At 52.7% G+C, this 25,792-nt stretch overlaps 1 protein-coding gene and 1 long non-coding RNA gene across 25 annotated transcripts in view, besides 8 other annotated features; both read left to right on the forward strand.

The window, feature by feature from the left end:
- CTIF (cap binding complex dependent translation initiation factor) overlaps nt 1-25,792 on the forward strand; it is a 324,187-nt gene that overhangs the window by 215,684 nt on the left and 82,711 nt on the right. For 15 of the 24 annotated variants that reach the window (XM_047437960.1, XM_047437965.1, XM_017026100.2 and 12 more), the window contains 2 exons: nt 3,205-3,697; nt 6,676-6,975. In XM_047437960.1, the coding sequence (XP_047293916.1) occupies nt 3,205-3,697; nt 6,676-6,975 (793 nt within the window). The remainder of the gene's footprint in view (nt 1-3,204; nt 3,698-6,675; nt 6,976-25,792) is intronic. The other 9 variants (XM_006722586.4, XM_011526279.3, XM_047437969.1 and 6 more) reach the window with 1 other exon arrangement.
- Nucleotides 2,777-3,365: an enhancer, noted in NCBI's record as "H3K27ac-H3K4me1 hESC enhancer chr18:46283862-46284450 (GRCh37/hg19 assembly coordinates)". NCBI's record gives its function as "activates a minimal SCP1, AML or CMV promoter by ChIP-STARR-seq in naive and primed H9 embryonic stem cells {active_cell/tissue: H9 hESC(naive and primed)}" and the evidence as "EXISTENCE:reporter gene assay evidence [ECO:0000049][PMID:30033119]".
- Nucleotides 3,366-3,954: an enhancer, noted in NCBI's record as "H3K27ac-H3K4me1 hESC enhancer chr18:46284451-46285039 (GRCh37/hg19 assembly coordinates)". NCBI's record gives its function as "activates a minimal SCP1, AML or CMV promoter by ChIP-STARR-seq in naive H9 embryonic stem cells {active_cell/tissue: H9 hESC(naive)}" and the evidence as "EXISTENCE:reporter gene assay evidence [ECO:0000049][PMID:30033119]".
- On the forward strand, nt 6,982-25,440 carry LOC107985147 (uncharacterized). Its single transcript, XR_001753444.2, has 2 exons — nt 6,982-21,075; nt 22,111-25,440. It is a non-coding gene; the product is annotated as an uncharacterized LOC107985147 (long non-coding RNA).
- Nucleotides 21,347-21,847: an enhancer, noted in NCBI's record as "H3K4me1 hESC enhancer chr18:46302432-46302932 (GRCh37/hg19 assembly coordinates)". NCBI's record gives its function as "activates a minimal SCP1, AML or CMV promoter by ChIP-STARR-seq in primed H9 embryonic stem cells {active_cell/tissue: H9 hESC(primed)}" and the evidence as "EXISTENCE:reporter gene assay evidence [ECO:0000049][PMID:30033119]".
- Nucleotides 21,848-22,348: an enhancer, noted in NCBI's record as "H3K4me1 hESC enhancer chr18:46302933-46303433 (GRCh37/hg19 assembly coordinates)". NCBI's record gives its function as "activates a minimal SCP1, AML or CMV promoter by ChIP-STARR-seq in primed H9 embryonic stem cells {active_cell/tissue: H9 hESC(primed)}" and the evidence as "EXISTENCE:reporter gene assay evidence [ECO:0000049][PMID:30033119]".
- Nucleotides 23,584-24,525: an enhancer, noted in NCBI's record as "H3K4me1 hESC enhancer chr18:46304669-46305610 (GRCh37/hg19 assembly coordinates)". NCBI's record gives its function as "activates a minimal SCP1, AML or CMV promoter by ChIP-STARR-seq in primed H9 embryonic stem cells {active_cell/tissue: H9 hESC(primed)}" and the evidence as "EXISTENCE:reporter gene assay evidence [ECO:0000049][PMID:30033119]".
- Nucleotides 23,969-24,108: an enhancer, noted in NCBI's record as "active region_13294". NCBI's record gives its function as "activates an Ori minimal core promoter by ATAC-STARR-seq in GM12878 lymphoblastoid cells {active_cell/tissue: GM12878}" and the evidence as "EXISTENCE:reporter gene assay evidence [ECO:0000049][PMID:35858748]".
- Nucleotides 24,179-24,258: a silencer, noted in NCBI's record as "silent region_9437". NCBI's record gives its function as "represses an Ori minimal core promoter by ATAC-STARR-seq in GM12878 lymphoblastoid cells {active_cell/tissue: GM12878}" and the evidence as "EXISTENCE:reporter gene assay evidence [ECO:0000049][PMID:35858748]".
- Nucleotides 24,566-25,197: an enhancer, noted in NCBI's record as "H3K4me1 hESC enhancer chr18:46305651-46306282 (GRCh37/hg19 assembly coordinates)". NCBI's record gives its function as "activates a minimal SCP1, AML or CMV promoter by ChIP-STARR-seq in primed H9 embryonic stem cells {active_cell/tissue: H9 hESC(primed)}" and the evidence as "EXISTENCE:reporter gene assay evidence [ECO:0000049][PMID:30033119]".

Raw genomic sequence — 25,792 nt, forward strand, 5'->3', positions numbered from 1 at the left:
AGCCGCCGCCCAGCAAGGGTGAGCCTGAGAACGCCCACTAATGCCAAGTGGCCTGGGGCATTCTTGGCCATTGCTATATTGTCAGGGCTGGCTGGCTCCAAGCTCTTTCGAACCAGAAAGACATGGAATTCCAGGTCCCTCCAGATTTCCAGGAATGAACAGCAGAAGCCCTGCAGGAGCCAGCTGATTTCTTTCTGGAGCCCCTGACCACTAGCCATATAGCAATTACTTCCTTCCCCCTCCAGGTAGATAGAAGTTGTTTTCTTTTCTGGGGGTGGAGGAGTGCACTGGGTAGAGAGAGGGAAATCCCTGTATGGCAAGTGGGAAACCAGGCAGTTTCAAGACGGATGTTGGGAAGGGCTTGGTCAACCATCCTTTGGGGACATTTCTTGGGCCATAGCTGCAGGCGCCACAAAAATTCTAAATAAGGATGACGAAAGTTGTGAGAATCAATTATTATCTGCCAGGGAATTTCCAAGGTTCCTCTCTGGGCTTAAAAATAACTCACATTGAAAGAACAAAGAGAATGGAAGGAGCAATTAGTTGAAAGTAACTGAGAAGTTAAAGGAGGGAGAATTCACAAAAAGTCACAGGCACGAGGCACCCTGGAGAGTGGTCTGTGGGCCACAGTTTCTTCTGGGCTTTCCAATGGGGGTTGCCTTACACTCTGCAGAATGAGGGCTGCAGCCCTCCCCGCTGACTCAGGCATTTGGGGCTGGGCTGGGCTGGGTAGTCGGAAGGCCAGTTGGTGGTAGAATCACTGGGAGGAACCTGACTCAAGGGCCCCACTTTTCTCATGGGGCCCAACTCTTCTCCAGGTGCTGGTGCTGATAGCTCCTACCTGCCATGGGGAGTGAAACTGAATATTTCAGCAATGCCAGTGAGGAGGGGGGTGTGTTTGGGAATGGAGGGGCTGCCTCTCCCACCCAAGTGTCAAGGCAACAGTGCTTTTGCCCAGGAATGTATATCAGAAACCAACAAGATTGAACTTGGACACCAAGGATGAAAAATGCCACACAGGCCTCCTGAGAAGGGCCCAGGGTATGCCTAGTCAGCAGGATTCAGTTCAGGGTACCAGATTTTTACAGATATTTTAATAATGACTCTTAAATTATTGAAATAAATATAGACAACCCCAAACCTTGGACACTGTATATAAAAAGAAACCTAAGAAGACTCTGAAAGGTAGAAAGAAGACAGACAGGCCAGGGACCTTGGGAACTGAAGAATGACACACTGGTGAGTTCCTGGGGTTTTCCTCTTGGCTCAGATATCCCAGACTTGGAGCTAAAGAAACTGGAGACCCAGAAACACCATGAGGCCTGAGCAGACAAACGGAGCCCCAACAAAAGTCCACTCTTTCTAGCCAGAGGACCAGGGAAGGGGCAGCCTAGCAAGACAGAAAACTCGAGACAGTAGCTACTTTCCTCCAGCCAAACACCTCTGCAGGAACTGTAGCCACACCCCCACCCACCACTCCAGCGGAGGCCCAATGAGGGGCCTAGACAGTGACAAGGTACCCAGCACCCCAACAGGGTGGTGTCAAAGGGACTGTCATCCCCATTGGGGATAATGAGCTACTAAGCTTTTCAATGGAGGCTTTTCAGTGAAAAAAAAAATTTTATTCATTTTAGTGGAAAAAAATAATGCATTTAACCCCAACCCAGGATACCCTCAATTTTTCACAGATAAAAATGTATCAAGTAAATATTAAAATTGAATTTATATAAGTAATAAGCAATAAGTTGTAAGTAAATAAATACAATTTGTTCATAACATGCAATGCAATGAAGGTCTGTGGTACCCAAGATAGGTCACGGAGGAGGTGCAGCGCTTATTCTTTAGAAGCTAACATTATCTTTCTGCAAAATCTTTCCACTATTTTACAACCTTTGCAGAATTCATGCTTATCTTGTGCTCCAACTGCACTTCCAGTAAAGTTGTGGCATGGAAAACACCCTGAGGGTAAAATGGAGTTTGAACATAGTAGTGCTTTCAGTGGCAGGAAGCAGCCTTTGAGCCAGCCAGAAGGGTCATGAGAATGTCCCTCACCACCCCTTCACTTGCCTTTTGGCCACAACTCAAAAGTTTGGGGTTTGTTCCTGCTGCACAACTCACACCTGTTCCCTGTGCTTAGAAAGTGTTGTCAGATGAGCCTGTCTTGACCTACACCCATCATGTTAAATATTCCTTCTGTATCTGTTTGCTAGGTTGCTGTAACAGAGTACCACTGACTGGGCTGCATAAACAAGAGGCATTTTATTTTCTGACACTTCTGGAGGCTGGAAGTCCAAGATGAAGGTGTCGGTGGGGTTGGTTTCTTCTGAGGCCTGTCTCCTTGGTTTGCAGATGGTCACCTTCTTGCTGTGTCTCCATGTGGTCTTTCTTCTGGGCATGCAGCCTCCCTGGTGTCTCTGTGTGTCAAAGGTTCCTCTTGTTATAAGGCCATTAGTCAGTTCAGATTAGGGCCCATCCTAACAGCCTCGTTTAATTTAATCACCTCTTTAAAGGTGATCCATCATGTCTTATCTCCAAATACAGTCACATTCTGAAGTATTGGGGGTTAAGGCTTCAACATATGAAGTTTTGCGGGGTGGATGGGGGACACAATTTAGCCCATGAAAACTTGTTATAGCATATGTAGTTTGTGGGTTTGGGGGTGAAAATGACAATGTTCCAAAAAAAAAAAAGTTGTTTGAAAGGGATATAACTTTTCAAAAAACATTATGGTGAACAGTCATTCATAGGAAGGTGCTTGTAAGAAGCAGGTCTGCGTATGCATCTTTGCTGGTACATGCATAGAATATGTCTGGAAGATTCACACACGTGGAACGGCTGCTTCCAAAGGCCATATGTGATGACAGAGTCAGAGGCAGGAGGGTTCACTGTTATCTGCTACTGGATCTTTTTAATTTTGTTCCACATGCTTGCATTCACACATATTCTAGTAAGCGAATAAAGTACTGATTTTAAGGAAAGAATTGGCTTTGGTCCTCTGCAGTAGCAAGGACCGGTCTGCCTGTTCTCGGCTGTATCCCCAGGGGCTGTCACAGACTCTGGCACGTAGAAGGTGCTCAGGAAGTGTTTGTTGGAAGAATGAATATATGGACAAGGCAATGACTTCCTGTTCTGGCGGCTGGGCACAGGGACTCTGACCAGCCCGCCCAGTGATCGCCTTCTCTGTCTTTCCTCTTCCGTTTGCAGGCGGCAGCAGAGACCTCCGGGGGGCAACAAGCCCCAACAGCATGGTGACCACCAGCCAGGCAGTGCCAAACACAACAGGGACCACCAGAAATCCTACCAGGGGGGCTCAGCACCCCACCCCTCAGGGAGGCCCACTCACCATGGCTACAGCCAGAACCGGCGCTGGCACCATGGCAACATGAAGCACCCACCAGGCGACAAGGGGGAGGCAGGCGCACACCGCAATGCCAAAGAGACCATGACCATCGAGAACCCAAAACTGGAGGACACTGCAGGGGACACCGGGCACAGCAGCCTTGAGGCCCCCCGCAGCCCTGACACCCTGGCCCCGGTGGCTTCTGAGCGGCTGCCCCCACAGCAGTCAGGGGGGCCAGAGGTTGAGACAAAACGTAAAGACAGTATTCTTCCCGAGCGCATCGGGGAGCGGCCCAAAATTACCCTGCTCCAGTCTTCCAAAGACAGACTGCGGCGAAGGCTAAAGGAAAAGGTACCGGTAATTGAATTTTTGTTCTTCTCTTGCACCAGGGAGGACAGCAAGAGGTAGGCACTTTGGTAGGTGGGCACAGTGCAGAGCCTTGTGGGTTTGAGGGTCTAGGGAGCCATGTACAGGGAAGCAGGGGCTTCGGTCACTGTGGGGACCAACCACACTGGTCCACCACTGCCAGCAGGTAGGGCCATCATGAACCCCTCCAGCACACTTGGGCTTTTCACCTTCCAAACTCCAAGAGGCCCAGGGTGGGCACTTGGAACCAGCCCCCAGCCCAAGGGAGTAGGGGGAAGAGATGCATGCCTGGGAGTGATGGGGGAGGTGCAGGGAGCATATTCTAGGGTTAGATATTGTTTGTGCTGAAGAGCACTTGGGGAAACATGGAGCTTATGAAATAAGAACTGAAGCTTTTCTACAGGTGAGTACCATCCAGGCAGTGGTCTCTGCCAGAATGGGGAGCAGAGGTGAGTTGTTCAGAGTGGGGGCAGGCTGATTCCAGCCTTCCTGTTTCCCGCCTTCATCACCCAGAGGCCAGGGAGTGCTCTACAGTGCACACCGTAAGGTGGCTCCATTCTCAGCATCACGCAGGTGCCTACCTGTGCCAGCATGAACCCGAGAGTGAGGCCTCCTTACTTTTGCTCCCAGGAGGCTCTTTCTGCACCCTGGTCCTGGCCTGGCCTGTAGCTTCAGGAGATGACCCTAAACCTCCAGAAGAGGGATGGGGATTTGTACTTGCAGCAGTAAGTCCATTGTGCTCACCCCAGTGCCACCACCCCCGACCCCACTGCCCAGCAGGGGCACAGGAAAGGTCACCCTGGAGAGGAACTGTCCCAAGAAAGGCCAACTTGCCCACAGCCATTCCCACACAGCAGCAGGGCCTACAGAGGCTTCCTCCTGGGGCTTCCGCAGAGCTCCATGTTCTGGGCTTCTCCTCCATCCTCCCCTACTGCCGACTCTCCTCAAGCTCTTGCCCCAGAGGCCAGGCCCAGGGTCCACACTCAGGCAGGATAAGGCAGGTCAGACCTCTTCTTGGATCCACTCTTGAAGATGAGATGCTGCTCCCAGTATCCTCTCCACCGAGTCCTCTAGAGTTCTGCTAAATGTAACTGCAGGGCAGCAGAGTGGAAACAGCACGGGCTTTAGAGCGCAGCTGAGCAGGCTCAGACCTCACTTTGCCTTTGACTGGATGGGTGGTCTTGGGCAAGTCACCTAATCTCCCTGAGCCCCAGTTACTCATCTGTAAAATGGGTGTTAATACTACACACCTTGCTGAGAGACTGTGAAGGTTAAATGAAATAACGTGTACAGATATGTTCTTGTGGGTATTCCTATTCTATATGCAGACCACTGTTCCTGCCCTGGGGCCCAGATGGTCGGAAGAGAGGGGTACATGGGGGAATGGAACAGAGAAGGTAGATCTATAGCACCTATAGATCAGTTTCAAGGACTCCACTCAGGTGAGGCCTCCTGAACTCCTGGACCAAGAAGACATGGGCTCAGGCTCAGGCTGGGTCACTCCCCACTCTGCTAGTTGCTCACTCTAAAAAAGGGTAAATCCTAGGTGGCCAACCAGCCACATCCTAAACATTTTCATCAGGGAGAGCAACACTTTCCTTCTCTCTTTCAAGAGACAGGTAAAGCGTGAGATGTCTCTTGGGGTGGGGATTTGTGTCCTGTTAACTTTACCCAGGGACTCAGAGTAGCCTTCCCTGAAGAGGTGGTTGGGTTTGAGGAGAAGAACTAGGCCACCCTATTCCTTCACCCAGGATTCAGCCCTTTCTTTTTTTTTTTTTTTTTTTTGAGATGGAGTCTCGCTCTGTCACCCAGGCTGGAGTGCAGTGGCCCAATCTCGGCTCACTGCAAGCTCCGCCTCCCGGGTTCATGCCATTCTCCTGCCTCAGCCTCCTGAGTGTTTGGTTCTCAAGCCAGAGACTAGCTGCCCTTGGAACTTGATCCCACCATGGAAGGGCTCAAGGAAAGCTATAGATTTTCTCGTCTAACCTCACTGTGTTACCTATGAGGAAACTGAGGCCCAGAGAGTGAAATCACTTACCCAAAGCCACACAGCTAGAGGCAGAGAGTGGGATCTAGAGCCTTGGTCTGTGCCTTCTAGGCCAGAGCTTCTATTGTCAGGGACAGAAGACCAAGCTTGGATCTCATTTCATGACCCTGACCCTGCCCTTCCAGCCAGATCTCACTTCCTTGCAGTTAAGTTGTTCCCATTCTTGGCCACCAAGAATGAGTCAATACAATAAGATGACATTTTTTTCTTCTTCAAGCCCCTGGTCTGGTCCTAGTTGCAGTGAAATCTCATAAGGCTGTAGGGCTTTTTACTTGTAATATCCCTCCTAGAAGCCCAACTGTTTTAGTGGCACATGGGAGGATTCCTTGGTGTGTGGCATATGTCTACAGAAGACCAGCACAGTCTCCACAGGACAAAAAGCCAGGGCTGTGCCCACAGGGGGCCCTATGCCCAGAGAACAAGTCATCATTGGGCATTTGGAGCTGAGGGTGTAGGGGACAAGGTGGCCACTGCCTGGGCCGCTTTTAACCACCACTGCAGGCATTTTGGATCTGACCTGCCTTCCTGACCAAGTCTTCCTACCCTCATTTTCTCTTTGGCCCGATTTCATATTTGTTATCTTATTTCCTCTTTCATAATTTCCATTAAATCTTTTCTAGATTAAGATATTTGATGGACAAATAAACAAAAAAAGCCAATGTATATGAGAATCCTGGGTAGGAGCTAGAACCCAAAAACAGTATCAGCCCTGGATGTCATAGGGGCCAAGAAAAAAGGCAACAAGGAGCTTTTGGCGCATGAGGGGTCTTTGGTGGAGGTTCCCAGAGGGACCAGCCCTCAGATCCAGGGAAGTAGGCCTGGTCCTGCTTTCTGGGGGTGGCCACCCTCTTTCCACCAGGCCACCCCTGCACAGAGACCTCGGCTTCACTCAGGCACATTCATTTGTCTCCGACACCCCCAGGATGAAGTGGCCGTGGAGACGACCACTCCCCAGCAGAACAAGATGGACAAGCTGATCGAGATCCTGAACAGCATGCGGAACAACAGCAGCGACGTGGACACCAAGCTCACCACCTTCATGGAGGAGGCCCAGAACTCCACCAACTCCGAGGAGATGCTGGGCGAGATCGTGCGCACAATCTACCAGAAGGCTGTGTCCGACCGCAGCTTCGCCTTCACCGCTGCCAAGCTCTGCGACAAGATGGCGCTCTTTATGGTGGAGGGGACCAAGTTCCGGAGCCTGCTCCTCAACATGCTGCAGGTAACTGGACGCCGGCCACCACCGCCCCGCGCCCCCTGCCCCTCTGCGTTCGGTGAGTTATTCCTAGCGAGAAGGCTGCGAGTTCTGGCCACAGTTGGACTTTTCCCAAGTTCCGCCCTTGCCCGATTAATTATAGAAAACACAAAGGCAGTTAAGGGGCCAGGAATGAGCGGCTGGATTTGTGTGTGTTTATGTGTGGGCTCCCTGGTTACAATGGACCAATATAATTTTATAGGTGCTTTATGTTTAACCAGCCTTTCCCACTTTCTATTTTCATAAGAGGCTGGCTCTTGGTCTCAACCTGGCTATGTGCTTTGACCTCTCTACATCCAAGCAGACATGAACTTGCTGTGGACTTCTCTTTTCCTCCTCCTTCCACCCAGGGCTAGGTCCTTAGACCTTTGCAGATATGCAGTTGATCATCACTGGTAGTGAGATGGGTTTGAGTAAAGCCACACATGAGCAGAAAAGGGATAGTCTGTTTACCAACACACTATGGCTCCTGGGCAGAGGGAAGTCACGGTGATGCAAGACTGTCTTCATCCTTGCTCTTTCCCTCTTAATATCCCTTCACCTCTGACAGTGTAACCCCACCCCTGATCATTGCTTCCTCCATGAAGGCCCACGTCCAGTGGTTCTATCAGCATGAGTGTGTCGTGGGAGTAGGCGCGTGCACTTGGACGGAGCTTAGCAATGTTTCATCTCACAAGTACCTGCTTGCCTGTATGGGCAGTAGCAGATGAGCTGGTGGCCCCAAAACTGGTGACGTCAGGGAGAGATAGCAGGGTCATGGGATGGTGGCCACATCAGGTCCTGGGACTGTCCTTGGAGACTCTTGGCTGGGGGAGAGCCATGTCTCCTTTCCTCCTATTTTGTATTTTAGAGACTAGTTAAGATACAAAGTGAGTTTCTGGTCCAGATGAGATAAAATGGTAGTTTCCAAGTAATGAAGTAGAATGGCAGGCTATAGGGCCATCTTAACTAGGGTGACCATACAATAGATCATCCAAACTGCAACACTTGTGAAAGTCAAAGGGGGTTCAGTTCATAATTATGCCTAGACAACAGGTGTAAACAAGGGCATATGGCCACCCTCACCTTAACCATGTGGTTCGCAGTCTGCCGTCTTCCCTAAAAGCTGGGAGGAAGTTGCCGCTAAGGCCACCTCTACATGCAGCCGGCAGGGCTCCATCCCCACCCACCCTCTCCTCTGCATGTGAGTTGCACTCACTGCAACATGAGCCCTCCCTGGCCAGCCTGGGCTGCTTCTCTCCTGCTCCAGGCCCTGATCAGGTTCCCATTCCTGGATCGCCCGCACTCCCCTGGTGACGAATTCCCGCATTACCTGAGGGATTTGCACATGGGGCATGTTCCTCGCGGGCCGGAATGTCCTGGGAGCGTGTGGAGAGTGGCGGGCAGAGAAGCCTGTCTGCCAGAGAGCACCCGGCACAGGGGAGTCAGGGACAGCATCAGCCTATGGTCTCGGCTTTGGGTTTTGTTTTTCAAAAAAGGGCCAGGATGGGGCAAGAGTTCTAGACAGTGGTTGCCAGCTCCAAGTAACCCAGCCAGACCCGGTGGCAGACAGGCACCCAGGGCATGGGGCACTTGGGGAGGGCAGCTGGCTGCAGGGGCCATCTCAGATCGGGTATTTCTTCCAACCTGCCGTGGTAAGGGTGGCCTCACCCACAAGTGTCCAGCGGACCATCAATCCTGGGGAACAGTCAGCCACAAAGGGGGCCCTATGGCCCCTGCACTCACCTCTCAATCAACCACAACGTGCACTGGTTTAGGACAGGCTCCAGATGTCCCAGCAGGAAGGGAACCTGTTTGGCTCCGTTTAACTCAACAAAGTCCTCTGCATTCCCCAGTTAAGAACTACTTGTGGGATTAGTGTGCTGAGAGACAGTTTGGCAAACACTACAGCAGGGAAGAAAACACAAAATTGAAAGCTGGGAAGCAAGGATTCCAGACCTGATTCGTTTGTCATCCGTTGGAGCTTGGCCTCTATAGTTCCCTGGGAAAGTGCAAGCAACAGCCTTCATCAGTGTACCCTCGATTTTGCACTACTGGAGATGAGCCGGGGTCTCGGGCAGGGGCACGAGGGACCCCGTGTGAGCCTTTCCCTTTCTCATGCTCCTGAGGCCTTGCCACTAGTAGGAAACTGTCCTGGGTCCCCCTGAGTCCTCACAAACCCACTCACCCCATATAGTGGCTCCATAGTAGGTCTGTCATGAGTGATGCAGGCTTTGGGACCAGCCCAAGAGACCTAGTTCTGCAGGTGCCACCTTGTCTCTGGAGCAGAGAACTGGCACTCCACATCCTGCTCCCCACCCCCCATCAGCCAGGCTGAACCTCCCAGTACACCCTGCATGGACGAACTCTCCCCCAGAATTCACTTCTCTGTCCCACTCTGAGCATGCACCTCCCCCTGAAGCATCTCACACTCCTACTTCAGGTGGTGCTAGGGCCCCACTTTCCAGGAAACACTGGCCCTTCTCCTGTCCCAGCACCTCTCATCCTGCAGCCACAATGTTCAGTCACCCTCCTAGTATTCACTGAGTATTTCTAGTGTGCCAGGCACCAGCCTGGGGACTGAGGATACAGCAGTCAGTCACTGGGCACAGCTTTGTCCTTAAAAGGTTTGCAGTGAAGGAGTTGAACTTAAACCAATGGCCACATGAATCCACAGTGACAAACTGGGGTGCGTGCCGTTACTGCCCCCCATCTTGGGCTCTGGGAGGTGGGAACCCCTCTACTTTCTGCACCTCTGTATCCCAGGGGCTGCATAGTGCCTGGTGCTGGAGGGCCCTCGGTCGTCAAGGAGAAATGGATGTCTGAAAAGGAAGGCGCTGGAAGCCTCCCTTCTCCCGGGCTAGGGGCCTGCAGGGACAGCTGAAGTCCAGGGCAAGAAGGGAACCCCCCACCCAAGGCAGTCATGGCTCACATTCTGAGGTTTCAGAGCAGCTCCTCCTCTCCTCCCCCACAGTGGAGGAAGCCAGCCATTTGCCTGGGTGGAGTATCTGCGGGTCAGGTCTTTAGAAATCTAAATGTCCACATAGGCCACCACTCACCCCTGTTTACCACCTGCAGTCCCAGCTTTCATGTGAGCCGAGGAGGGAGCCCCTTGAGAGTATAACCAGAGGCTTGATCTGCGTTCTCAGACCTCCTGGGTGGCTAGACAAGGCCCTTTCAGCTGCCATGGGAAGGCGGGTGGACTGTGCTGGTGCGGGGCTGCCCTGATCCCACAATGGCCCCCTGACTCCAAGGCCCAGAGGACACCTGAACCACATCTGGCTGAGCCTCCTCAGGCCCTGTGCCTTCTCTCTGCAGCCAAGGAGACAGAGGTGGAGTGGGCTTTTCTGGACAGCATAATTCATGGCCCCTCACCACCCAAACCCGAGAGGTGCAAGAAAAGAAAGCGATGGGCTGGGCTCAGCAAAACCTGCTTTCCCTCTTAACACCTCCAGGGATGTCTTTTTTCACCTGACTTCATTTTCTGGCAAACTATGTTTGCATCCCTTCCTGGCAGGCAGTTCTAGACCCGGCCTGCACAGCCCTGCCCCCTGCTTCCTCCCTGAGGTTTGCACTCAGCTCCATCCACTCAAGGCCCATCTGGCTCTCGGTCCCCAACCAGCACCTGGTTGGGTTTGGCAGCCTCCGAGATGCCCCCATAGGATCAGGTTCAGCTACCACTTCCACACACAAGTTCTGGGCCCCGGCTTAGCAATGCAGGCTACAAAGGGGCCAGGGTGTGAAGTGCCTCCTTAGCACAGCTCCCAGCAGTGGTCTTTACACTTGGTTCTCCCTGGCTGACTTCTCTTGCTGCCAGGGCTTCAGTGATGGGAGCCGGCAGCATGGAGGGAGAGGGGCAACCGCAGATGTGGTAAACATTCTGCAGCAGAGGTCTGAGGGCTCTTGCCAAGCTGGGGTGCAGCCCCCATGGAGTGGGAAGTGCAGGGTGGGAGAAGGGAGAAGGTTTAAGGTCCTTTAACCCTTCCCAGCCAGACTCAACACTGCTATCTCAAGGAACCCAGAAGCACCATTCTCATGAGCCATGACAGTGCTGGAGACCTTGGGGTCTCAGAGGACCCCGTCACCAATCCCACAGCTCCAAAATGGTCTTCAGTTTTTACATCCAAGCCAATTCCTTTTTACCTGAAATGTGGCCCTTTTATTAGTAGTGTCCTTGTAAGTAAAATTCTATTTATTAAACAGACATTTCTTTTTTTTTTTACTTTTTATTTTATTTTATTTTTTAATCATTTTTTCTTTTTTTTATATACTTTAAGTTTTAGGGTACATGTGCACAACATGCAGGTTAGTTACATATGTATACATGTGCCATGTTGGTGTGCTGCACCCATTAACTCGTCATTTAACATTAGGTATATCTCCTAATGCTATCCCTCCCCCCTCCCCCCACCCCACAACAAAACAGACATTTCTTAATGTGCCAAGCATGTTGTCTTTATTAGGTCAGGGGTTCTCAAACCGGAATGTGCATATGAATCACGTGGGATTTTGTTTAAATGCAGATTCTGATGCAAGAGGCCTGGGATGGGCTTGAGATTCTGCGTTTCAAACATGCTCCTGGTAGATGCTAGTGCTCTAGTCCAGGGACCACAGTGGGAAGTCACAAGGCATTGAATGACTGATGGTTTGTAGGTGGTGGCTCTGTTTCATAGATGGGCAAACTAAGGCACAGTCTGTCATCAGTGTGATGGTCAGAGTGGAGGTCTGGCCTGGGAATATTGCATTTCAGATACTGGCTCTTCTTTAGGTCAGTGGTTCTCAGCCTCGCTATGCATGAGAATCATGAGAACACAGCAGGCAGGGGGCCTACCCCTAATCAGTTGAATTAGATTCTCCAAGGACGCAACCTGGGCATTCGTTAGCCAGGGTGGAACACCACTGTTGAGGAGACACCCCAGAGACACCGAACTGGTTCATCGCGGCCACTTATGAATCAGCTGGCTCTGCCTGTCATGCCGCGAACCAGTCAAGAAATACCTGCCAGGTGTTGGGCTCTCTGCTGAGCCATGGGGGAAAACTCCGAGTCTGAGCTGGCAGGAGAACCCCATTACACAGGAGGCCTCAGCTGCTGAGAACATGCCTTCCACTCCCCCAGCCTCAGGCTCTTCTTGTCATCACCCTGAACCTCCTCCTTGATGAGATGAAAGCCACCTCTTCTCTCCCGCTGCCTCCATTTCTCTCTGTCCTCAGCTCCTTTTCCCATTTTCCTTTTCCTTGGCCTGGGATGTGTGTCGGAACAGCTATCACATGTTTTAGGAAAAGGGCCTCATTCTCACCCACGGTGCCAGGCTGTACCAGAGGCTGGGCCACACTTCGCAGTTCAGCCTGTCTCCCCATACACCTTCCCACCAAGGTTCCCAACTTCTCTGGCTTTGCAGGGTCCTGACTGCAGACTAGACTGACTAACTAGATGATGTGCATTGATTGTTTCCGACTTCCAGGAGAATGTGGGGTGCCCAGGGTGCCTGGGTTAGAGAAGGAACCAAAAGTTTCCTTGGATCCTCATCAGGGAATTGTGGTGTGATACAGGGCGGTGAAGGGGCTCCAGTTTCACAGAGAAGTGAAGAACGAGTGTGCCTCTTTTTATGGGACCTTTGGAATGACAGGAATGGAAGCCTGAGCCCTCTCCACCCAGCACTGCCCTGTCACTGCCCCGGGACGTCCACGTGGGCTCTGGGAATGCTCCTTTGCTGAGACAGGCTTGGGTAGTACAAGTTCAAGCCCTCCTCTGTTGAAATGTGTGTGCTCTGTTTAGCCAAGAGGTGTCTGCATCCGAGCTATGCAGAGCAAAGTATTATTAGAGCCGGCATCAGTGTGTCTGTAACTGAACCCAGCTCTCCCTAGCAACCGTTGCCAACAACACATCTAACAGAAGGATGCGATACCTTTTTTTGAAAAAAAAAAGTTTGTCTCAACCAAGTCATAAACACAGCAGGCCTGTTGTGAAAAGACAACACAAAATCAGAATCTGGTGTGTGACCAGATTTCAAAATAAATTGCTCTTCTCTAGCACCTTCTAGAAGACAGCCTGTTAAAAAGCTGACCTTGAGCTAAAGAGCGGAGAAACTCTTCAGAGTTTCTGGCTGGGTCATCATCAAGCATTGTGTTTTGGGCTTTTCATACATAGACGCTCAGTTGAGTGGTGACTCTGTGGGATCTCTGGGAATGACTTTAGCACAGAAGGGGCACTCAAGATTTTCTGGCTTGGCTTTCCTTATCAGTGAATCTCTCAAGTGTGAGACAAGCCTGAAGATGTATCTTACCCATACCTCATCCTGGATGTGTGTGTTGCCCCCACTTCTACCCGTTTCTCCCATCCTCCTGCCCTTCTCCTTGTCCCATGTTTTCAGGCTTGGGAAGAAAACTGGGCCATTCCTCTAACTCTCTTCCTAAGGGGAAAACCTCGTTCTCTTGTGATTCTCTCAAGGTCTCTGGAAAATCAAGTCATTCCCCTTTGTCAGAAGTTTGAAGTTCCTAACTCTTATCTTTTACATAGGAAGGGAGGAGGGAGACTGATATCGATTCCTGGAGTCTAAGTTTTAAACTCCTAGATGGCCAGAATCCTGGCTGAGTTATCGGCTGTCCCCAGCTCCTGGCTTCATGGTTCATAGTAGATGCTCAGGAAATGGCTGTGGAAGGGAGGCATGGAGCCATCAGTCATGGGTACCAATGCTCTCTGGGGCATGAGGGGCTTTGAAACTCTTCTGAGCACTTTCCTGTGTGTGAATCGGAGGTAGGTTCCAGGGCAGGGATCCCTCCCCAGGCTTATACATGGGGAAAGTGGCTCAGTGAGGCTGCAAGATTGACCCAGCATCACGAGGCTAGCTGGAGCTTCTGGATGCCATGCCACATCCTAAATAGGGTGTAAGGCTCAAAAACTTGGGAAAATCAAGAATCCATATCATGGTTGGGAGCAATGGCTCATGCCTGTAATCCCAGCACTTTGCAAGGCCAAGGCAGGAGGATTGCTTGAGGCCAGGAGTTTGAGACCAGCCTGGGCAACATAAAAAGACCCCATCTTTGAAAAAAAAAATAGGCAGGTGTGGCAGCATTGCTACTGAAGCCCCAGCTACTCCAGAGGCTGAGGCAGGAGGATCCATTCAGGCCAGGAGTCAAGGCTGCAGAGAGCTAGGTCCCTGCTGTTGCGCTCCAGTGTGAGCGACAGAGTGAGACTCTAAAAAACAAAAAAGAATCCATCTCAGGAAGTCATCAATTGGGATTTCAAAATCCACCCTGTGGAATAATCCCACTGTGTTTCCAGGGGTCGCTGAGTCTCTGAGCTTTCTGGGCCTCTGGAGGTCAAGGGTACCTGAAGAAACCCCTGCACTCTCCATTCGCCCTAGTCCCTGTGAAACCACACAGGCTGCTGGCCCCAGTTCCCATCTCCTCCTTGCATCCTCTCCCTCTTCTCAGACCCCCTCCCTCATTTCTGCACACCCACCGCTGAGCCGATGTGCACTCCAGGCATGTAAACTAATTTTAATGTTGGCCCAAGCCAGGCACACCCAGGGATAGAAGCACATTGTTCTGTGCATTCCAAAGCTTGAGCAAAAGCCCTGGCCATACCCACATCGAGCTCCCCTCCACTAGTTGCTAGAAATCAGAAAGGCTGAAGCAAAGGGCCAGAGGCAGTGCAAGCCGCTTTCCCCGTGGGCAGGCTGCACGGAAGCTTGCAAAAGCCCAGAAAAGGGCTGTTTTTCTAAAAATGGCTGGCATCTGAGCTCCCGCCCTGCCCCCTGTGGGCCATCTGTCCCCATGCTGAAGCCCGTGCCCTGCAAGGGACATGCAGAGTTGGCACACACATTTCCCTGAAGGTGGGCACCAACAGGCCTCGTCAGGCTGGCCTGGCATCACAGGAGGCCAGCAGTCACAGGAGCTTGACCCCTGCCCAGGATTCTGTGGCAGCCCTGGGCTCCCCCAACAGGAAGAGCCAATGCCTGACTCCTATCCATGTTCTTTGCCCCTGCGGCCAGAGCCACAGTGGATAGGAGCCGTGTGCCTCGTTGCCAATCTTGTTGTCTGCACTTGCTTTGGGATGAGTAAATATGACCTGCTTTTCTCCAATCTTTATTTCTTCTCAACGCTTATTGAGCACCTGCTATATACCATGCACTGTGGCAGGTCCTGTATGTCTCTGTTCATTTGCCCTCCACTGTGGTCTTTCAATCTGTTTGTGCAAATCTTAAGCATTGCATTCAAGGACCCAGGTGGGATACCTCAATGTCAGTGCTTAGACCAGATCGCCCTGACTGTTCAGTTTGGGTGGGGCGGGGGAACATGTGGCTTCCAGGAGTGCTAAGCCTGTGGTTCTCTCTGGAGCTTTGAAGTGCTCAGTGAGACAGAGCAGCCGATGACCGGATCATAAACAAGCATTTTGATTTTTGAATCTGAAAATAAGCGAGGAAAGAAAATGACCACTGATCCTCAGCCAGTCCTGGAAAGTGCCCAGAACAGCAGCATGCCAGGTGTCCAGTCATCATATCATCAGGGGGGCCTGGGTGCTGCTGCTGTGCCAACTACTGCCCCAGGCCCCCAGGGACCAGTGAGCTTCCTGCAAAACCAAGTGCCCAGCTTCCTGCCTCTTTGCCACTGCGCCACTGTGCCACTGCGCCACTGCGCCACTACTGTGTTCTTCAAAATCACAGAGAGCCCCGCTCCTGAGAAAGCCCAAAGTGCCTTTCTGTGCACGGCATGGGCTTTTACAAGTCTCATGGGCAGTCTACTGCAGGCCTTGTCAGAGACTCTAGATGTGCAGAGGCTGAGGGAGCCTTGGACAAAAGTCACTCCTTTCCCGTGAAAAGTGGCCATTGCCCTGTGTTGTTAGGAGCGTGGGTGGCTCAGGAGGGGAGAGCAAGACCAGCCTGCAGCTTCATGAATCAGGTCAGCTGGGCCATCTGGAGCAGACAGGTGTGGGTCGTGCCCCCGAATCTCATTTCTCTAGACAGGATTTCTTGCCCTGAGGCAGCAACGCTGAGGCCTGAGGAGTAGCAAACCTGTGCAGTAGCATCGATTGCTGCCTCGATGCTGATCTTGAGCATTTAAAACATGTCTCTGCACCCACGTTTCCGTCCTGCAAGGGATGATTGGGTTGTGGTAGAGCTTAAATGAGGTAATGCATGCACGGACCCCAGCTCTGAGCCACACCACTCGGATGGCTCCATCAGTGTGGGTGCCCTGCCCTGGTGGGATGAACTGGGAGGCCCTTCTAACTTTATCCCATCCTAGATTCCCAAAGACCACCCCATGCCTCAGTCTTGGGCAGCATTTCCATTTCCCCCCCCTACGCTGATTAAATGTGGAACAATGAGGGCAGGCAATGAGTGCTTTTAGACTATTGTCTTCCTGGGCGGTGGGCCCAGGATTGACAGGTGTACTCTTCCTCCTAGTCAAATCTGCCTCCTCCAGGAAACCTTCCCTGATCTCCCAGCCCAGGGACCTCACCTTCCTCTGACTCTTGAACATTTACCATGTGTCCCTTTCATGAAGTCTTCTGGGCTCCCCTGTTTAAGCTTTTCTTATCTGAGACTTGTATCTGTGGATGTCTTGGGGCAAAGAATGCGTCTGGGTCATCTTTGTGTCCCACCACCATACTGGTACCCACAAGGTATTCATCAGGCATCAGCTGGCTGGCTCCAGGAGCTTCCTTCACTGGGGAGGAAGGAGCATGGATAGGCAGGCATGGGAATAGCACAGGCCACAGCCACAAAAGGGAATGGCCTGGGGTTTTCTCCCTCTCGCTTCTGGGCCAGGAGAGCTTTACCCAGGTCAGGAATTATTTCACCATCACCCGTGTCCCTTGCCAGACCGTGTCCCCTTCCCTGCATGCCCTCACCCCCCACCCAGGGTTCATTTTCCCTGCTAAATCCCCTGATAGAACTTGGCCGGGCACTGCCCTGTCTGAGGCTGCCACGCCGAAGCAGGCCCTGCAGATAAGTGGGTTACCGGAGAAGGCCAGCTCGGGTGTCCCAGGCCCCAGAGGGTCACCCCTGGCTGGCTGGCAGCTCACCCCCAGCACCTCCTCCTCCTCCTTCCCCGGAGCCAGGCAGGCAGGAGACAGCAGATCCTTCCCCCCAGCTCTGTGAGCGGCCGGCCCCCAGCCGCCGCGGGGAATCTGAGCTATGCTAAGCGGCTCCAGATCGCAGCATCTCTGCCCTGCCCGGGCACGGCCGGCCCAGACAGGGCGCCTCTACCTGCCGTGGCTGCCGCTGGAAAGCTGGCACCGCCTGGGCTGATGGAAAAAATCTCCCTGCGGGTTATGTAACTGCTCACCGCCCTGTCCCTGGCTCCCCAGGGAGGCTCCCAGCCACTACCAAGAGAGAGCAGTGGCCCCTGGGCAGGAAGGAGACCACAGAGGGTCACTCTTTCAAAAGGAAGAAAATAGTGTTGCGTTATCTGAGGTCCTCCTCTGGAACCAGCCTGTGCATGGCGCCAAGGTGTTTCCTGAAAATGCTTAAGGAGCTCAGAGGCCTGCCCCAGTATTATAGCAAGAAGAGAGCTAAACCTAGCGGGAGGGAGTGGCCACAGAGGAGGAAGAGGGCAGGACAGCTTTGTTACTGTTTTTCTTTTCTTTTCTTTTTGGCAAATTATTATTGCAGTAAAATATACCATAAAATTCACCATCTGAACTAGTTTTAAGTGCACAGTTCAGCAGTACCCCGCATACCTACAATGTTGGACAATGCCCATGACCATCCCCCGGCACCCCACCAAACCCTCTCATCACCCCAAACAAAAGCCATGTACCCACCATAACTCCCCTACAGCAATAACTCCCCTACAGCAATAACTCCCCTACAGCAATGCCTCCCCTCCATCTTCCATCTCCATGAATTCACCCACTCTACAAATAGCACACATGGGATATCATACAATATTTTTCTTTTTGTGCCTGGCTTATTTCACTTCACATCATGGTTTCCAGGTTTATTCATGTGTCAGAATTCCCTTCTTTTTCATGGCTGACTAATATTCCATTTTATGTCTATACCACATTTTGTTTATCCATTTATCTGTCAATGGGCACTTGATTTTCTTCCACCTTTTGACTATTGTGATTCATGCTGATAGGAGCATGCATGCACAAATATCTGTTTGAGTCCCTGCTTTTGATTCTTTGGGGTATATACCTAGAAGTGGAATTGCTGGATCATATGGAAATTTTATCTTTAGCTTTTTGAGTATCTGCCAAACTGTTTCCAGGAAGGGTGTTTTTGATGGGGGAAATATCATGAACCAAGAGCCAAAGAAATGACACAACTGAGGGACAATAAGGACACTGCCTTACTGAAATTCAGCTGAGAGCTGGAGGAAGTCTATAAGGGGGACCGACTAAGAGGCAGAAGGATCTGGACTTTATAAAGTGGGACTCAGGGAGCCATTGTGGGTTCTTGAGATGTAGAGTTCCAGGATCAATTAAAAATCATAGACCAGTGTAGACTTGCAGGAAGGATCTATAGATCATCCAGTCCAACCCCCTCGTATTACAGTTGAGAGACTTGAGGCCTGGAGAGGTTGAAAGAGGCCATGAAGACATGTTGATAGGTCATAGGATGTTGGACTTAAAGATGTTTTACATCAGAGAACCAGGGGTTCTAGGTAGCCACGTGGTCTCTTGTGGAGAGGGAGCATATCCAGGCTTAAGCCTGCCCCTCAAAGACCTGAGCTGTGATGGCAGGCCTCATTTCCCTGCCCTACTCTCAGGATCCTGCTCTCTGGCCCCTGGCACATGGAACTGTGGCATTTCCACCACCACCCCCACCAGCCAGAGCCAGGAGCTGGGGTTGCCTGCCATGGGGAACTGTGCTCCCCTAGCGCTGGTCCCCTTCCTTCAGTAAGTGCCATGGTGGGCTCCAAGAGCTTCTGGGACAAGTCAGTGGGCATCTTCGAACCAGAGCCCCTGGGTGAGCAGGCTTCCCCAGGGGTACATAGCCTGCATTCCAGAGAGGGCCCCTAACATTGGCCTGTGGGCCGCTGATAGGAAGAATGGATAGAGACTCCGCACAGGGTGCCCCACCCCCGGCCCTGGTGCCCCTCACCATGCTGCTGTGGGCTTATCTCCTTGTTGCCCTTCGCCCATACCAACCTGCCTGAGCTGCGTTTCTGATGCCTATAATGAACCAGAAGGGAGTTGAGGGGACAGAGGGGGAGAGGAACAGGAAGAGGAGATGACAGGACAACTCTTTCAACAGCCAGCAGGAATGCCACACTTGGCCTTCAACCCTCCGCTCTAAGAGTATTTATACCCACAGTGTTCAGGGTGGCCAGGTTCCACCTTGTCTAGATAAAGAGCAGGCCCCCTTACGGAGACAGAGGTCTCCCCAGCTCCCCTCCAGACAGCCACCAAGAGGTCAGGAACACACAGAGTGCACGGCGCAGTGCATGGAAGGGAGGCGCTGTTGCAGGGGCAGCCATCAGTGCCTGGGTTACTCTGAGGCCAATCGGCATCATGTGAGCAATTTAAACCCATGGTGTGCCCAAAGGCCAGCTTTTCCTACTTCTAGGTCTTCCCTCTCTGGGCCCCTCTGTCCAGGAGAGGCGGATACACTCGACCAGAAGCAGAACCATGGGCACAGGGAGTCTGCGTCATGCTGGCTCAGCATGGCTCTGCCCTTGAAACCCAGAGCCTAGAATAAGGGGTCCCTGTACACCGCCAGAGTGCCTCACTGCCTCCCACCTAGAGCTCAGGTTTAAAGGCCTTCACTCGGTATCAGGGTGCAGAGCTCTGAGTCTTCAGGGAAAAACAGCGGCCTCTTTGGGGGGGACAGGGAGGAACCTGCAGGGAACGACCCTCCCTTAACCCTCTGCTGGCCCTTCCAGGACAGATCCCAGGTCCCAGAGTGAGAGAAGCTTCAGGCCACTTTGAAGTATGAGGACAGGCATGCTCAAAATCGTCCCCCCTCCAGCACCCCCTTGACAGTGCCGAGCCTGAGACCAAGTGTATTCCAGAGAAGTCTGTATGCACCCAGGTCATTCACACCTAGACCCATTAAGCAGAGAGGGCTTGGGAGCCAGCACGTCACCATGTCATGCCCCTGCCTCCCAGTTTTCCGTAGAGCAAAGGCCATACGAAAGAAGGGGGTAGCTTAGGAGGTATTTGGGGAAAGCCAGACTCCAGCTAAAGCTGGTGAATAGCTATAATCGGAATAAGTGCATTCTTGAGCAGCTGCGTATTGGAGCGCCACATATTGGACCCATACTTAGCATGGACCCCATTAGGCAACCGTCATTGCATTATTCTGAGTATTAAAAAAAAAAATGTGGCAAGGGGAGTAATATCTCTAAAGTGGGGTTCGAAGCACAGTCACCTGGAATCAGCCTTCCCTGCCATAGACCCTTCCTTTAATGCCTTACCACCTGTGGCATAAGAAATAACTCAAGCGGCCAAGAGCCAGCCACCTCCCCCTGGCTCTAGTTGTGGCGCCATGCAACTGGTTGACTCTGGGTGGATCTCAAGCGTGGCAGCCCTACACTTACTCTTCTGTTAAATGGGGTCATAATACCCATCTCCTCCTCCTGCCTACTGCACTGACATTATCATTGTTAAAATCCACTGAAATGCCTGACTTTTACCTGTGTTCCCTTAAGACTCCTCCTCCAGGAGAAACTTGTGAATTTCATAGCAGCATGTTTTTCCTTTTCCTTTTGATGATTCCATTCATTCAAGGTTCTTAGGGGAGGTCCCAGGCAGGGAAAGCGCCATGAGATGCCCACGCAGAGATTCTTCCACAAGTCCAGGGGCCCCCGGCACAGTAGGACTTGAGGTTTGGGTGCAGCACTGTAGACAGCCCAGGATCCAGCCACAAGGAAAGCTCTCCAAGGGGCCCTGGGACTGGCCTGGAGGCCCCACAGGGTTCCCTGAGCTCAGTACTGTGAAACCCCAGTGAAACAGGCACTGGCCTCTGCCTGACACATAAAGGGGGGCAGGGCCAGCTCAGCCAGAGGGCAGTTTAGGAACATCAGAGGAAGGGGCAAGCCCTGTAAGTGGAGTAGGTTGAGGAAGGCTTCCTGGAGGAGGAAGCATGAAGGAAGAGGCAGGATCTGGGTGGAAGGAAGACAACAAGAGGATCTGTAAGTGGCAGGACCCTTTGAGGGACTGGGGGTTGCAGAGGAGGATTGGGGAAGGAGGTACCGCCAGCCTGGCGGAGGGTGTCAATCAGCAAGCCCAGGGCTGAGGCTGCCCAGCCGGGCCGTGACCCCAGGTCACTGTAACCACACTGGCCCGTTCATTTTGCTGGCGCCTGCTTCTTGCCATTTCAGGCCAAGACCATATTTTCATCCAAAACTAAAACTTCTACCTCAAGAGGCGTGAGTTTCCTGCCAGCCTTGGGCCGTCTTTTGCAGGTGGCAGAGTGGGCTGCTGAATCTGCGACCCTGGCCAGGCTCCAGGGCCTCTGAACCCTGGGGTTTTGCTGAGGCAGGTGGTGTGGCACCAAGGGCCTGGCATCTGAGGCCAGAAGATACCCGCCACCCCTCCCTGGTGAGGTTACTGCCTTGTAGGAGAGGGTAGGGATGCCCACCTCCATATGCCCCCATGTGCCCCAACCAGCCCCTCTTTGTGCACCAGCTGCTTCCAGAGCTATATGGAGATGGGCGCCCACCGCCCAACCAGGCACAGAGGTGCAGTGCTCGCTGTGGGGGAGGGGGAGCATGATGCCACCCCCAGGAGCTCTGCAGGAGCCAGAGCAGGGTTGTGCAGGAGGCTGCCATGGGGCGGGTCTGCACAGCAACACTTGCTGCTTTCACCTCACTCCCCTCTGCAGAAGCCCCTTTTCCTCCCCTCCCTCAAGTGGTGGAGCAGGAGGCAGAAAGTCTGAAGCCAGCCCCTCAACTAATGTCACCGTCTGAGCCTCAGCATCCCCATAGGGGAAACGAGGGCACTGGGTCGGGTGTGGTCTGTGGGTCAGGTCTCCCCAGCCAGGCACCAGGCCCTCTCCAGCAGAGCCTGTGGCACCTCTGTCTGCCTCGCACAGCCCCTCAAGTGCCTTGAGCCTGTGAAGGTTGCAAGGAGGTCTAGGACTAGGGAGAGGCTGGAACCCACTGCGGGTGGGAAGAGAAGATGGGAGCTGCTCTGTCTGCAATCTGGCAGTTGTTTATCCCAAACAGGGAACCAGAAGCTGAGGATTTAAAGGCTCGGCGTGGGAGGAGGTGCTCTGGGCTGCAGGAGATCCGGTGGGGAGCCCCAGCCCTGCCTTTCCCTGGCTGGGCGACCTCAGGCCAGGCCTTCTACCCTGATGGTGGCTTCCTCACCCATAAAACATGGAGAGGTTAGAAGTCATTTCAGACATTCCTTCCAGCTTTGTTATCCCAAAGCAGATGCGCTAGGCAAACAGAGGGTGCCTGCTAAAATGCCTGTTGCTGACTGATTGGTTAGCGGGTTGACCAGTGCAGAGCAGGACCCATCCCCAACTCTCCCCACCCGGCGGGTCTGGCCGGCTCCTTCCCACCCGCCTGGCCCCATTTACAGAGTCTGGGGCCTGCTTGGCTTGTGTGTGCTGGCGGCAGCACCTGCTGGGTGGGCAGGGCGGCCTGCAGGGGGCACCAGTGTGCAAGGCCAGCCCTTCCTGCCTGCGGCCACCTCCCAGCATCTTGGCATCCTGGGGGCTGTCCCACAGGGAAGATTTAAACTATATGATGGTGACCGCCACCAAGCCACCCTCCTATGTGCAATTTTCAGACCCCTTGGGGTCCCAGCCCTGAGTCCAGAAACCTCAGGCTGAGAGTTGGACTAGAACCCACAGCAAGGGTCCCCTCCAGACCTCCAAAACGGGCCAGTGTAGTACTCATTCCCATTTTATACCCAAGACAACCAGGGCTCTTGGAGGCCACAGGAGGGCCACCGAGGTCTCAGGTAGCTTAGAAGGAGGACAGAGCATGGGTCCTGGATTCCCTGGGAACAGTGCCTGCCCAGAGACCCAGCTGCCCTTAGGAACGAATGAGTATCAACCAGCTGAGGCTGCATTTTCTTAAAATGCATTGGTTTGTCTAGTGTTGTTTATGTTCTTTCTCAAACAGCAGGAAGAGGTTGTGGGAAGAGCCCTGGCTGTCAACAGGCTTCTCCCATGCAGTAGGGGTGGACAGAGGGACTGCAGCCAGGGTCAAGGGCAGGCCATGGGGCGGTGGGACAGAGAGCAGGCCGCAGCCTCATCTGGCCTCAGTAGCCTTGTACAGAGGCAAAGGGGCTTCCGTGTGGGGTGTCAGCTCCTTCCACACCTGCCTGGACCCGGAAACAGGCATGCCTTGAGTCACCAGCAGTGGGCAGCCGTAGAGTCACTGTTTCAACACCGCCAATTTGTTGGTCCCACGCCTGGGGCCCCTGTGGTCATTGCAGTATGTTTTATGGAACATTCTGTGAGGATTCCTCTTGGGGTTTTTTAGCAGCCACCCGTTAGGATGTTCCTAAAGTAGAAGGCAAACAGCCCACAGGGCCTCAGAATTCTAGAAAAAATGTCTGTGCACAGCATGGGAGCCTGAGCCAGGAGGGCATTCTCAGCCATCTTCTAAGGAGCCAGGTAGAAAAATGGGGTCGATTCTATTGTAGTTACTTCCTTATTTTAGCTATTCATTCAGAAATGTTAGCTGTTCAAAGGGTATGTCATTTATCAATCAGGAGGCGGGAGCCCCAGGTCTGCAGGAGTGCAGGGGAGGATGTGAGCAGGTCAGTCACAAGCTAACTTAGAACAAGCATTCAATCCCCCAGAAAATGCACCGGGGAAAGCCACAGGCATTCCCTTTTGGTAGAAAAGGTCCCTGGTCTATCTTCATCGATGGGACTCTCATCCGGGGTTTGTACCAGGGGAACCTGGCCAGGGGATGGCCGTTCAGCCTCTGGGCATGTTGGCAGAAGGGGTAGTTCATGGTGTGCCCTGGGCACCCCATTTCTGATTTCTACCCCTGAGCCAGGAAGGCCTCTCCCATCAACCACCGTGGGACTGTGAAGCAGGTAACAGGCAGAGGTGGTGGGGGTGTCCAGGGGCCTGAGGTGGCGGTGAGGATGGGCATGGAGTACTACACTTCATTGAAATGCCAGCAGCCAGGAGGTGAGCACCTTGGGTTGGGAGTGCTCCCTGAACCCCAGAACTGGAGGCGTTCTGGGGGCATTCTCACTAGCACCGCATCGGGACACATCAGTCCAGCAGGTCGCGCTGGTCCCTGGGGAGCCCAGAATGACAGTTTGTTTCTTTTTGTTCTGGCTGACAATGATGCCACAAAGCTGTTTCAGCCCTGACTGAGAGTACAGGATCTGGACAGCCCCGATTTGAATCCTAAGTTTAATACTTCGTAGCTGTGTGGCCTGGGCAAGTGGTTTTCCCTCTCGGGGCCCCAGTTTTCCATTTATAAACTGGGGTAATAGATAATACCTGCCTCCTTTGGGTGGATGAGGCTTGAATGGTGGGGACGATGGTGTTAGTATAAACACAACATTGACTGGTGTCGCTCATGTCTGGGGGTTCCTGTCAGGGGTCCAACAGGAACACCAGTTACTCCTCCTTTGCCATTGGGCCAGCTCTCTGCAGTCACTGGCTGGATACCAGCTGTATGCATACACTGTGGGCCATAAGTATCCCTTAGACCTTTGTGGGTGGGGGTTAACAGCCCCATTTTATACATGGGGAAAGAAAGTTCCAGAGAGCTTAGGAGGTATACGTCAAGTCACGCAGCTGGTCAGTGACAGACAGAACTGGAGCCAAGTCCCTGGTACCCCACACTCTGTCTCCTCAGAACACACTGCCACCTGCATGCCCTGATTGGTCAGGAGTGCATCTGGAGGGGGTCAGTTATAAGGCTGAGGAGAGGTGACAGGGAAACGAGATAAGAAACATGCCATTTAGGTGGCCATGCTTTCAGAGCCTCCTCCCCACAGGCCAGGCCTTGGGCTCTCCCCACTGCCATCTTATGACCAAAAGAATTGAGAGACAGCTTCCCGGCCAGCGCTTAGCAGCGGGCTTGGGTCTGCTGCCTCCTTTCCTGTCTTGCCGGGGGTGGGGGAGAGTCTCCACCAAGCTGCAGACAGACAGAAGAATGGTTCCTTGTCCTCCCAAGGGGGACAAGACTTCTCCATGTCCTTCCTTCCCACTGGGCTGGTTTCCAACCCACCACCTTCATGATTCGTGAATGCAAAGAGAAGACCACTTAGATCGGTATGTTTTGCTTCCACTTGGCAGCCCTAGGTGCTGGAGGCTGCAGCTCTGGGTGAAGGTGGGCCCTGGTCTGTGGGGTATGGGCATCTGTGAGCACCATCTGCATGCAGCCCCGGAGGTCAGGTGGCAGAGTCTCCCATGACAGGTTCCAGCAGCAGAAGTCCTAAGGAAGCAGCTTGTGTCTCAGATGAGGCTGTGTACCTCCGTTGCCTGTCTAGGCTGGAGGAAGGGTGATGGCACCTTTAACTGGTCCCTTCCTTACAGATCACTAAGTGTAAGAGGCCAAGCCTGCAAAGAAAAAAAGGGAGAGGGAGAGAGGAAAAAAAACTAGAGCCTGTGCGCTATGTCATTTCTAACACTAAATGATTAAGAAGTGAGGACCCTGGGGTGTGAGCCAAGGCAGCCTGGGTTGCTCAGTCCTCTAGAAACCCTTCTAAGCTTTCCTCAGCACACAGCCCAGAGTGCTACCCGGAGAAAGAGCCACCTTGTAAATCGCTTTCTTCACTGTGCTGCTATGCCTTTCAAAACAAAAGCTAAAAACTCCTCCCACCCCCATACAACTTGATTTATCATGACCCCGTCATCTCGGTGTCCCGGTGTTAGTTCAAAATCAGGCTCAAAACTGCAAAGGCTGGAGGGAGACTGTG

This window comes from Homo sapiens, chromosome 18 (genome assembly GCF_000001405.40).
Source record: "Homo sapiens chromosome 18, GRCh38.p14 Primary Assembly".
In the NCBI taxonomy this organism is placed as follows: Eukaryota; Metazoa; Chordata; class Mammalia; order Primates; family Hominidae; genus Homo; species Homo sapiens.